The following is a 13,609-nucleotide window of genomic DNA, read 5'->3' as shown; positions in this document are numbered from 1 at the left end:
AACGCCTGGAGATGTGAGATTAAGGGGTGTCAGAGACTATAGCAAAACTACTGTAAGTAAAACCGTGAATAAAACCATCATGCAGAGGGGGCTGGAAAGCTTCCTGGCTCTCATAATCTCTGGTGTCCAGTCATTTCAGAGGCTCGAATGGACCTCCATTCTTTCCGTTGGTTTGATTGCATGAGTTAAGCAAGTGCTTCTTTTGGTGAAACTGGTTTGAGCCCTAACCAACTGATAGTACAGTTTTAAAACCATAGAAAATTAAGAACATAATTATATAATGTTCTCAGCATTCACATTGCTTTAAAATTTTACCTATCTGGCTTACAAGACCTGTCACCAGCAAAGCTCGGGGATGCCTTCACACCACCACATCTGATCAGGGAGTTGGAGGACACCATGATTTGATGGCTTTGGAACACCTGTGTCCTTTGTTCCCCTACCCCTTTACTTAACAATGACTTAGCCATGAGGTGTTGGTTTTTTCTCTGGGTTCTTAAATCAGAGATTTGTCCTTCTTGGATCTAAAGCAAAAGCTCATTTTTGGTAGGAAGCAGCTCGTAGGGTTCTAGCTCTAGCCATGGGTATATGCATGCCTTTGGAGATGTTTCTTTCCTTCTTTGTGTTTGTGTCAAATGAGAGGGTTGAAACAGTGACCTCTCAGGATTCATATGGTGGTGAGGTTCTTTGACTGACTCTGCTCAGAGCTGGGCAAGACTGACTCTGCTCAGAGCTGGGCAAGACTGAGGTCTCAAGTTGATCCCTTCCCTCTGGCTTGGCACTTTTCCAGGCTGAGGGAGCTGGCCTCTCTATAATGGCAGGAGGGATTAGAAAACGACAGAATGCTTCCCTACACAGTCTCCCATGAGCCTTGGCCTCCCCACATAGGCCTGTTGCTGTTTTGTCTCATAAAGATGAAACACATTCCTCTGTTCTGAGCTCTATGGTCCCCACACTCTTTTTTTTCTCCCTCTTATTTTTAAGCTTAAACTCCTTCTAGAGTAATCTGTTCACAGCACCAGCCCCCACGTCTTAGGGAGGCTAAGTGACAAAGGCACACGTGTAGAGCAGGAAGAAAGGACTTTTCCTTTTCTACAACCTGCAATAAGTCACAAGGTGAATAAAGCCAAGGTTCAGGCCTAGACCTGGTTAGTAAAGTTCTTCTAGGTTCTGGAAGCTAAAATCCAGGCTCCCACTAAAACCTGGGGGCTGAGAGTTCAAAAAAGGTCATTTTGAGACCCCTTGCCCCTTGTATCAGCCTCCTGCTCCAATGAAAAAGGAAAAGACCAAAGCTCAGGCTGACGAAATGGCTACAATCTGTGGTGTGCATGTGTGTGTGTATGTGTGTGTGTGTGTTTCTTTTAAATAGATTCCCCCCAAAGAGAAAGCTTGCTTGTGTGGGTAGACACTCTTTTAAGAGGCACAAATCAGTCTCTGTCTGCCTAACCTGGGACTTCTCAAGCAATTCATACTGGTATCCAATGGTTAATTGGTAAAAAGTCTTTTTAATTTGGTAGAATTAGGGACTTCGGAGCTGTTCCCACAATGTGATAGGATGGAAAGTCCATCATTACAGAAATGTATGGGGAAATGAGAAACAGATGACAGAGAGCAGGGAGACCACCCTTCATTCTTTGCACAAGATTCTTACAGGAGAACTGGTAACATCTTCATGGTTTATGAAGGCCAGCGTAGTTGACTTTAGAATTTGTGTCTCCTGAATATTCATCCATGTCTTTTCATTCTTAAGCCCTTACTTCCCTTATTGGAAAACATCTCCTATATCCCAGCCATCTCTTCCTCATCCCTATTCTCCAGATACTCCAGCACTTTCATTGTCATCTCCTGGACCTTTCCAAGAATGCTTTAGAGTACATATGTGTCCTGCTTGGAGCCAAATTATTAACTCCACAAATAGACTGATGTTTGGTTTCCAAAAGGATTTTTACTTTACTTCAAGGAAGTCTTCTTTGAAGAATAAGTTCTTCTGTGTTTAAATAGAACTTTATTTCTGGAAAGCAGGATTGAGGATCAAAAGCCGCAAGCCAATGCTGTGCTCTGAAGAGCCATGCACAAGACAAATTTACAAGGAAGTGGAGACTATGAGCAACAGAAGGTATAAAACCAAGCAAAGGCACACATATAGAGTAGGAAGAAAGGAAGCCAGGAATAGAGGGGGAGAGGCCAGAAAAAGCACAGACCTAGTGGGTAGAGTATCCAAGGATCCCAAGAAAGATCCCCTAAATTCTTTTCCTGAGATCCAGAGATTTGCCTTGGATCCAGTACCTGCTTCCTGAGGCCTGACTTCATCACCATCTCCCTAGTGACAGTAGTCCCTTTACTGAGTTAGCGGAGAGAGACACTGTGCCTTCATCCCCAAGTGCCTCGGTTGATTGCTTTTTTGTTTCAAGCATGAAGCCATTGGGTAAAATTCAGCACATCTGAACTTCCAGCAGCTTAGTGGCAAGGGAAAGGTCCCTGGTTTGGCTAATGATCAGAGAAAGCCACAGTGAATCAGCAGGGACACTCTTTGGAGCCGACCCAGTGTGACTTTTCCCTGAAGCAGAAGGCAGGGTAAAGAATGAGAGGAATGGACAGAGGCATATCCCACTAGGGCATCATAAAAACAGCTAACTGACCTGAAACCACGGGCTGGAGGCTCTGAGATCAGCTGCTTTGATACAAGTAAGATCCACCTTCGTTATTCAGGTGGCTTGGGATGGACTCTGCTGAGTCCCATTGAACCCATTCAACAATTTTCATACAAATCTCAGGGCTAGGTTCTCTGCTAGCTACTGAATGTTCTCCTGCACCAGAAAAAGAAAATTGTATGCAGACACTTCAAGAATAGTTGAATACTGGGCTGGTGCAGTGGCTCATGTCTGTAATCCCAGCACTTTAGGAGAAATGGTCCCCACACTCTTTTCTTCTCCCTCCTATTTTTAAGCTTAAACTCCTTCTAGAGTAATCTATTCCCACCACCAGCCCCCATGTCTTAGGGATGCTAAGTGACTTCTTCCTTTTTTACAACCTGCAATAAGTCACAAGGTGAATAAAGCCAAGGTTCAGGCCTAGACCTGGTTAGTAAAGTTCTTCCAGGCTCTGGAAGCTAAAATCCAGGCTCCCACTAAAACCTGGGGGCTGAGAGTCCAAGAAGGGTCATTTCTAGACCCCTCACACGTCTGTAATCCCAGCACTTTAGGAGGCTGGTGGATCACTTGAGGTCAGGAGTTTGAAACCAGCCTGACCACCATGGTGAAACCCCATCTATACTAAAAATACAAACATTAGCCTGGCGTGGTGGTACACGCCTGTAATCCCAGCTACTCAGGAGGCTGAGGCAGGAGATTCACTTGAACCCAGGAGGCGGAGGTTGCAGTGAGCTGAGATCACACCACTGCACTCTAGCCTGGGTGACAAAGTGAGACTGTGTCTCAAATAATAATAATAATAATAATTCAATACATTTGTAGCTAGGTCAAACAAGTGGATATCATTTTCCATTGCCAAAAAGTTGAGTCCCTCAAAGTACCAAGCCTGCAACCTAGAAAAAAAAGTGCTCATCTATCTTTTTCTCTTCCACTCAGCAAGAGCTCTAGGAGATCCTTGAGATAACAGGGCAATTAATCTCCTTTCAATAACTAATAGGAGTTAGTGGAAGTAGCTCTGATCAGAGAATGGGAAGGAATTGAAGCAGGCAGGATCCCAGTCTCTCCACCTCCATCAGGTGGAACAGCTCAGCGCTTGTCCACACTACACATTGAACTTCTACCTAAACTCAATTAAAGTGTTTCATTGATTAAAATATTTTAAAAAGTAAAATAATATAGAAAACCACTGAATTTGGCTTCCAGAGTAAATTTTCTGAGGAAAAAAAATTACTGTTGAGGGGGGGAAAATAGTGTTTCTAAGATTTGTCCAGACATTACATACGCAGGCACACACATACACAAAATGCCATCAACACAGAACATCGACATTTAAAAAAAAAATAGAGATGGGTTCTTGCTATGTTGCCTGGACTGGTCTCTTGAACTTTTGGGCTCAAGCGATCCCCTTGCCTCTGTCTCTCAAAGTGTTGGAATGACAGGTGTGAGCCACCATGCCCGGCCAGCATTACCTCTAGATTCAGATCATTCAATCATTTAATAGACCCTGAGGCAAGGCCAACTGAGGTATTATTTATAACCTACCTCATTAATCCTCATCCCCAAATACTTGATGTATACTTGCTTTAAATGTCACTGCCCCATAAGTAAAACTTTAGTTTTTATTAAGCAAAACCTTAAGAAAGTTAATTATTAATTAAAATTTAATATTTATTAATCAACATCTTATATTTAAGAAAAAATAAAAGCTAACTTGGGGGTCTTGTTAATAAATGGCAGATTCTCTGGCCTGCCCCACCTCCCCCAAGATTCTGTTTTAAAAGGTCTGAGGTGGGGACTTAGAGCCTGCCATTATAAGAAGCCTCCTAGCTTCTTATAATAGACAATACTGTAAGAAACACCACTTAGGCTGGAGCCTCTTGAGCTGGCAAGATGATTGTATATAAGTGATGGTTAAGGAATCGCTCCCAGTAGAAACTATCAGAAAAGTGGAAGAAGCAGGACAGGGAAGGGGAGGAACTTAAGCCAGGCTGTGACTTCAGGTAAAGTCCCAGCTTCAGTAAGACCCTGTAGGGGAAGCCCTCGGCCTGCATTCCTACTGGATCAAAGTGGCTCATTCTCGGCTCACTGCAAGCTCCGCCTCCTGGGTTAACGCCATTCTCTTGCCTCAGCCTCCCGAGTAGCTGGGACTACAGGCGCCCGCCACCACTCCCAGCTAATTATTTGTATTTTTAGTAGAGACGGGGTTTCACCATGTTAGCCAGGATGGTCTCCATCTCCTGACCTCGTGATCCGCCCACCTCGGCCTCCCTAAGTGCTGGGATTACAGGCGTGAGCCACCGCACCCGGCCAGGGCTCTGCATTTTGCGGGTAAAGAAGCACCACAACGTGAGGGAGGTCCTAATGGAAGTTGAAGATATATAGGTGTGAATAATTAATCAGAGGGGATCTGGGTGGATCAGGCAGGTAGAAGAAGGGGATGTGGTTGGAGTGGGCAGCAGAGGTACCATCACAAACTGCAGGCTATCAAGTGGGTTAGGCCTAGGAGGCCACAGTTTAACAGCACATTCAGTCTAAGAGGCTCCTTTGCTGAAAAATCAGTGCCAACAAACATGGAAAAACAAAAAAGCCCAAGGAAATATTTATGCAAGCTAGGTTGGATGAATAAATAATAAAGGAATATCCAAGATTAAAGTGTTGCTGTACTCATGCAGTGGTAATTTCATGTAAAGTCAAAGGTCCCTCAAATATGACACTGTGATTCTAAAGATTTTTCTATTCCATTGGCATTGCATCTTGCTGACACTCTTTGAAGGAAGCTTTATGGAATAATTTCCCATCTCACTGCCTCTTTCCACTATGGAGTGTTCAACCTGTTATCCTTGTCAACTTCATTCATCTCAGTCTTTCTCCTCTGCACCACTTTTATATTTCTACAATTCTGATGATCACACTTATCTCTCTTGCTCCTGGTACTGAACCATAAACATCTTGAGAGTTACGATCATGTTAACTTATCAATACACCTCGGGGACAACAGCAATGGTCTTCACAAACTCGGAGCAGATAATCGAGGCTTGCAGGTTGACTGAATTATTCACAGTCCAAAGCTTTACTTTGATAGTTCCATGCAAGCAAAGTTTTTCCTAGACTTCCATTCTATTGAATTCCTTAGGTTTATCAACCAAAGAATCCTTTAGGTGATTAATCCTAATTCCTTAGGTAATTAATCACCCAAATATTTATTGAGCATCTAGTCTGTACCCATCTTGACACTGGGAAGGTCACAAAGTAGTATAAAACACAGTCCAAGTGCCCTAGGTACTTAAACGTTTTGGAGATAAACAATTTTTAACAGATTTGAATCAAAAAAGAGGATACTATAACAATATAATCAAGTGCAACATTATCAAATGCCACTAAAACTCAATGGTAGTGAATAGATCAGAGTTCATTGTAAAGTACACACCATAAAAGCACAAGGAGTTCAAACAGGTTTCATATTCATGTCAGCACTCATCAGTTGGTAGTGGTTGCATACAGAATCATCTCAGGAAATCTTAGTTTAAATGTGAGCTGAGTCAGCATCAGATTGATTAGCAATGTCTGCCAGGGCAAGAAATGATGACTGGTAGCAGATAAATTGAACATTCTGGTAGACTTGCTGCACTCTATGATCAAGAAAGGTTTCATAGGCAAGAGCTCTTGGAATGCAACAACCAAAGGCAAATCTAATGCCATTTTTTTCAAAGAATTAAAATTTCCAGTAACAAGCTGGCTTTTCCCAGAATACCAACATTTAGTTCACTAATGGAGCCTAGTCTCAGTGGAAGCCAAGTTAATGCCAGTGCTTGCTTTTCCTCTTTCTAGACATGTTTGTCAAATCAGATCTCCTCCTGGAGTGCTCATATGTCTAAATTCACCTTGTAAAGAGAGCCTGCCAAAAAAGAAAAAGAGAGGGGAAGTTAGTCTGAATTCAATGTCAGTAAAGAAATGCAGGCAGAGAAATGCCACCATTCAGCAGTGATATCCCAATGCTGTTTGGATATCACTTGGTAAAGGATTTTGTAGGAAATGACTCATATCATCCCCAGGCTTGGCAATCTCCATGTTAGGCAGACCCTGGAGAGGTCAGGTAAGAATAGTGAAGTGTGTAGAAGAAAGAACAATGAAACTGACATGCAGAAGAATTGGGTTCTAGTGTCAGATCTAGCACTTCCTCCACTGAAAGCCTGAGTAGCACTTGAGTCTCAGCTGCTTCATCGAAAATACAGAGCCAGCATTTTTTCCTTCTGTGGAAAATAAAGTATCTGTTGTTTAGGGCTAGCATCCATTACCCCTCTTCCTTGGTAAGAGTGCCCTGAATATATTTTGGGTCACCATCTTACCTCCTTTTTAGATGTGTAATTTGATTGAGATTGAACTTCACTTCTAGTACCTAAGCCACCTATGAATGGCATAAGCCCATTTTTCTGGTAAATCTTAAAAGTTGGGTACAAACAGGTGTGCTGACAAATGTTTGACAACTGGCTCTGTAAATAATAAAAGCCTTATTTTCAGCAATTGCCAATTTCTATGGCCTAAATATTCCCACTATGGCTGATGTTGAGCTACCAACATGACATCCTTGAACTTGAAGCCAGGAAGAAATCTACACAATCAGCTTAAGGGACAAGCACACCACTGGCGCAATCCAGTAGAAGTAAACTCCAGGCTGGATAAAAGAGGGCTTGGCTTGGTTCTATGAAGATGTGATGCTTTGAACTAGTATAGCTATTTGCTACAAAGAGAGGAACTTGTAGAACAGAGCCACCCAAAAATACGATGAATCTGAACCTGAGATTGGATCATTTCAGACTGAAGCCATTTCTACATACAAATTCACGTTTGCCTGATCTATTTTGAATCAGGTTTTATGTCACTTCCAACCAAATATAAACCAATCATACACTACATATATCATAAAATCATTATAAGAATAAAATGAGATAAGCTATACAAAGCTTTTAAAATGTAAGGTCTTCCTCTTCTGATTGGTGTTTGCAAAGGATCATACTGTTCTCCCCAAGGAACCCCTAAGACAAAGTTCTCCAATAGGTCGTAACTGTCCTGGAGTGAAGAGAGCACAGATTTTCTTTCCTGCTATTATATTGGCAGAGATGATAAGAGAGAGGAACTTCTCTTAGGAATATAACAGTCTAGGGGCTTTAAAACAAGAGTTGAATCTGTCAAAGAAAAGGGTTTTTATTTTTTATTTTGGATGCCGCACTTTAGACGTTTGCCTGGGGTCTTAGAGGGCCTATTTTATTACCACTTAGAAATGCCAGAAGCAGCTAAAACTGAACCTTTCTATAATACTGCTGGCTATAGAAGCCCAAGTGACAGCAGGACAATCACTTGCCAAGAAAGAGAAGGTTAAGTTATAGCCAAGAGTCTGTGCCTCTCAGAAGAGGCGACAAAAGACAGGGTATGAAGGAGGCATTCCTTCCTGGTCACACAAAAGGGTGCCAAGAAGCCAAATCTGGAATCTCAAACACTCTATTAGAGGAGTTCCACAGCCAGACACAAGAGAAAGTCTCTTACCAATAGCAAGTCTCTTACCAATAGCAAGACTCTTACCAACAGCAACAGGTTCCAATGGGCCCTTGCTTTTCCTATAAAATGCAGGGATCAATGGTTCTCCAGTCACCTTCCATAGCCAAGGACCTTACAGTTTAAATATTGGGTTTATCTGATTGCTGAAAGAACATAAAAAGTAGTCAGGGGAGCTAGAGGCTTTTCATGATAGAAAAGAAAAGTGAGGGAACTGGCTTGAACACAAGACTCTTGACTTGATGGAGGCTACAACCCAGATGTCCTGACTTCAGATTTAGTATTTACCTCCCTCATAGTTCCTAATCAATTAGCCTTATATTGGGATCTTGTCATTCAGGTTTTTATTGTCTAAGTGCATGCAGTTACAAAGTTTCATAGGGAACCTCATAAACATCAAAATCTCAAAATATTCCAAAGTAATATTCTAGCAACTTACAAGTTCAGTCTCCACTCCTTTGTCCCGTCTTGCTTAACACTAGCAACCATCCCCTCCTATCAGTTATGAACCATTTGGAGGAAGTCTTCAGCTAAAATGCAAAATACAAAGTAAGCCCCAGGCAAAGTTAATTCACAGATTCCACAAAGTTGATGAAAAGGATAGTAGAGGCCACTGGGAGGGAACACACACAAAACTACCAACAAATACAACAAATAAATGTGTTTCATTGAACACAACAATGAAAGAAGAAAAAAATCAACAATAAATGTCAGGAAAAGGGTTTTCATTAGTGATTTAAATATTAAAGGGTTAATAGAAGTCTTTGGGGAAACTGAGGAAGTTCTCAAATATTTTCACTCCAAAAAATCACTTGTCTTTTATTATTTTAAATTGATACATAATTGTACACATTTACAGGGTATCATGGGATAATTTGAAACATATATACCACGTGTAATAATCAAGTCAGGGTAATTAACATGACTTTTTAAAATTTCAATAAAGATCAATGGTTAGGTAAGGGATGTCAAAAAATATGCCAAAATCTCATCCTTTGATTCATTCTTTGTTCATTCTCAGAGTTAACAAATTGTTGTGTTTATAGTCTATATTTTGCTAAATATAAGGTAAAATAAATTATTTGTTTCATTTTAATCAATATGCAGACCCAATGAGATCATTTTACTTTATTCACTCTTATAAAATTTTGGTCCTTGATTTTCAGTGGATTTATACTCAAGTCTTTCTCTTCTATCACTTATCCTTACATAATAGAGATCTCCTCTACATAGAAGGAACCTATTAACTATTTATTGAATGGTTGGTTGGATGAATAGAAATGGCTTCTCTGCCTTCAAGCAGGACCATAGTTAGACAAGCCTTGATCAACAAGCAATTGCAGCATGGTTCTTAAAGATGTTTCTGGAAAGGAATGGCTTAGAATCTATGAGCCTTTCAGTCAGACAGAAGAAATTGGTAGCATTCTATTAAATATCACTAGTAGGTCTCCTGTTCCACCTCAATCAAGGCATGAATATATGTGAAACCTTTACTTAGTGCCAAAAGCATTTACTTTGGCCTTACGCTGTGAAAGCATTTAGTACCATAGCTTTCCTCTCAGGAGCTTATAGATTAATTAAGGGATTAGATGTAGAATAGTTGCAGTCTGATGTGTAATCATATAAAACCAAAGCCTAGTGCATGTAACACAGATGCTGAAAACCTAAAAGTACTGCAGAGAAGAGGAAAATAGAGCCATTCAATGGGTTAGCATCAGGGGGATAATGATGAACAGAAAAGAGGGAGGGTATCCCAAAGTAGGAGAGAAGCAGCATCATAAATGGCAAAAGGAACACCTGGATGCTGGGGGCTTAGGAGAGTTGCATTAAAGAACAGCAGGGAGTTAGATGAAGGTGAGAAAATCCCACTCCTGTTTGAAGCCCATTCTACGAGTGACATTTCAGCAGCTTCTTTCACTGACCCCTCAAGAGCCTGTGCGTATATACATGGGTTTATGCACCAGTACCTAGCACTAGTCCAAAACCACTTTCTTTTCAATTTAAGTTGGTGTCTCTTGTGAGCAAGAAACCTGTTCTACCCATATATGAAGGCTTACACTTATGGGTTTCCAAATCCTGTTTCTCCATACCCAAAGAGATTATCCATTTGAGGGCTGTATCAATTATCTGCTGCCACAATACTGCTGCATAATTAAAAATCATAAAGCCACTGTGGGTTACAATAATACACTTTTATTCTGCAACAAGACCTCAGTGTTCAATTATTCAGGTTGGACTTGGCTGATCTTGGCTGGGCTGGCTCACACGTCTGGGGGTAGAGGGCTGTTGACCCATCTAGAAAGGTCTCAGCTGAGATGAATGTGGTGACTCTGCTCTATTCCACATGTCTCTCATCATCCATCAGGCTAGCCTGGGCATGTTCATGTAGCAACAGTAGAAGGTAAGTGTTAACAAGTCCCGTTGCACAGTGCTATTCAAGCCTGTGTGTGCTTCACATTTGCTAACATTGGCACAGCAAGTCAATGACAGAGGCCAGAGTCAGAGATACAGGGCATGACAAAGTTACATGGCAAATGGTGGGGATGAAGAAATGATCCCCTTTATGTAATCAATCTGTGGTGAAGATCATAACACCTTGTAATTAACAAGGCAGGAAAAGGACCAGTAGGTACAGTCATGTGATCCATTAGACACCCTTCCCTAAAGCTCTCTTCAAGCCTTGAACACCAATAAGAGGAGCAGAGGGAGTGCTTACGTGATTTTTTTTAAGTGAGCTAGCTGAGCAGCCAGCATTTTCCCAAGGCTGCCCTGTTCTGTTCAGAATAAAGACACAGGCAATAGGCCATGCTTGGATGCCTCGGACCATCTGCCAACAAAAACAGAAAAAAAAATTAATTATGAATGGTGTCTTCCCATGCTAATCATTTATTGTAAAGGATTTCTCCAGCTTGTTTATAATAGCTGTTGCCTAAGGGTGCATGCTGTATAAATTGTCTGATTACAGGATACAGAGCACTTCTTAATAGGCCTCAGCTGATTAGGAGAAGGGAAAGAAATTAAAGAGGCCATTTCCCTTTAGGTATGCAAATACCTCCCAGAACAAAAGACAAAGATATGATAGACCATGATGAAACACACCCTCTTTTCTTTTTACCTTAAATTATGTACCAGGCAAGGAGCAAGCTTCATTGCATGTGTCAGCTGAGATGTGAATGGTCTAGTAATTGAAACAATACCAATGCCAGAAATGCATGTTAGACTAGCTCCCTGGGCAGCCCTGTAGCAAATAGTAGTGCAGTGCTTGGATCTCTCTGGATAAGGGGTCACTTCTAACCTTTGGGTAATTTGACTCTGGCTCATTGAGCTAAATTTGTTTGGATCAGCTTGGCCTTCTCATTTTTGAAGCCAAAATTTACATGTCAACATCTGGCAGGAAGGGCAGTTGGAAGGCAGACTGAATGTGTTTGAAAAACATAGAAGTGCACAGATAGAGTCATTCTTCTTCTCACTTCTCAGGCACACAGAGATTCACACATACATCTCACAGACATGTGCATGCACACACACACGCATACACATGCAGGAGCCTCCATTCCCACAAAGATTTTTCCTCTTAAGATGTCCATTAGTGCTTTGAAGGGGTATATTCAACATGGTATTTTATTGTGACTTACTTTTTCAAGCAGCAGGGATTTTATCGGTCTCCCTGACCAGTTATAGAAAATACAGAGGTGCATAGAGATGTTGAGGGTAGTACCAACATGAGGATTCTACTTATTTGGAAGTAAACGTGCTGTGCCCCAGATGTCAGGCACTTCCAAGCATGAATTATAAATGGATGAAAGGAGATTAAACCCTTGCAGCTTACATGGGTGAGTCTTCCCTATTTCAGAGGTTAGTAAATCTCATGTGCATCTTATCAGTGCTTTATTAGAGCTGAATTTATTTTCTATCACTGCCTGGAAAATTACCCCAAAACTTAGTGACTTAAAACAACAACATTTATTGTCTCACAGTGCTCATGAATTAGAAGTCTGGGCACAATTTAGCTGGGTCCTTTGTGTCAAGGTCTCTCACAAGCTTGCAATCTAGGTACTGACTGAGGTTTCAGCCTCATCTGAAAGCTTGACAGGGGCAAGATCTACTTCCAAGCCCACTTACTTGATTGTTATTGGCAGGATTCCATTCCTTGTGGGCTGTTGATCGAAGGCCACCTCAGTTCCTTGCCAATGGCCCTCTCCTTTAGGGCAAGCACACCATAAGAGCCAGAGAGGGGATGCCAGAAAGATAGAAATGATAATCTTTTATAACCAAAGCTCAGGAGTAGTATCACATCACATCTGCTGTATTCTACTTATCGGAAGTAAGTCACTAAATCCAGTCCCCACTCAATGGAAGGGAATTACACAATGGCATGAACACCAGGAGATGCGGATTTCTGGGAGTCATGTTAGAAGGCTGTGTGCCACAAGATCCCTTTGGCATTATTTTCCAAAAAAAATCTTCTCTGGAGGACTGAAAGTTAACTAAGTACTATTTTTCAGAGTCCTTGAGTTCCAGAAGCAAAATTTGTAAACTAACCTTTCCTCCTTGCTTGTACATTTAGTTTATATTTAATAAAACTATGGAAGCAAAATTTGGGTATCTCTGACACTTCTGCAGAATTGAATGTCCATCTGGACAAATTAATGACCCCATGAGTGTTTGACCTGCCTACTTGAATTCAGTTGAATCTTACTGAACACCTATGGTGTGCCAGGCACCTTCCTAAGTGGGAATACAATATTAATTCAGATACATACAGTCTATGTCCAAAAGGAGTTTCAAGTTGGCATGGGCAAAGGATGCATGCCATAATGGACTGCTTATATAGATGATGGTAAAGTAAAGGTGGTATGAGATTATGTTAAAAAGAATGTTTTACTTAAAAAAATATGAATGATGGACATTGTAATTCAGATTCTTTACCATATTGTGGTCATATAGTCCTGTTCCTATCAGGTTTTTTTTTGCAGTGGGGGGAGGGTTGGAGTCTCACTCAGTCACCAAGGCTGGAGTGCAATGGTGTGATCTCGGCTCACTGCAACCCCCACGTCTCAGGTTCAAGCAATTCTCCTGAGTAGCTGGGATTACAGGTGCATGCCACCATGCCCAGCAAATTTTTGTATTTTTTGTAGAGATGGGGTTTCACCATGTTGGCAGGCTGGTCTTGAACTCCTGACTTCAAATGATCCACCCGCCTCGGCCTCTAGAAGTACTGAGATTACAGGGGTGAGCCACTGTGCCCAGCCCCTATCAGTTTTTTGCTCCCTTCTCTCACCAAGACCATGCACTCCCTCAAAAAAAAAGAAAGGGTCTTCTCTGAAAACTCTCACCATTCTCACCAGCTCCACCTCCAATACTGGCTCAGTCTGTGGCCTTTGCAATTGTGGTTCTCTCTGCCCACT

General features: G+C 41.5%; 1 long non-coding RNA gene across 2 annotated transcripts; it reads right to left on the bottom strand.

Moving 5' to 3' along the window:
• Positions 1-4,913: 4,913 nt before the first annotated feature.
• On the bottom strand, positions 4,914-13,233 carry LOC107984886 (uncharacterized). Of its 2 annotated transcripts, XR_001752175.1 has the most exons (4): positions 12,324-13,233; positions 10,918-11,028; positions 8,641-8,731; positions 4,914-8,347 (listed from the first exon to the last, which is right to left on the bottom strand). It is a non-coding gene; the product is annotated as an uncharacterized LOC107984886 (long non-coding RNA). The 2 variants fall into 2 exon arrangements; XR_001752173.1 differs by having other exon boundaries at positions 8,641-11,028.
• Positions 13,234-13,609: the final 376 nt, after the last annotated feature.

The sequence above is a fragment of the Homo sapiens genome, chromosome 16 (assembly GCF_000001405.40).
Source record: "Homo sapiens chromosome 16, GRCh38.p14 Primary Assembly".
NCBI classification, from domain to species: domain Eukaryota; kingdom Metazoa; phylum Chordata; class Mammalia; order Primates; family Hominidae; genus Homo; species Homo sapiens.
This window is presented reverse-complemented; position numbering and strand designations above follow the sequence as displayed.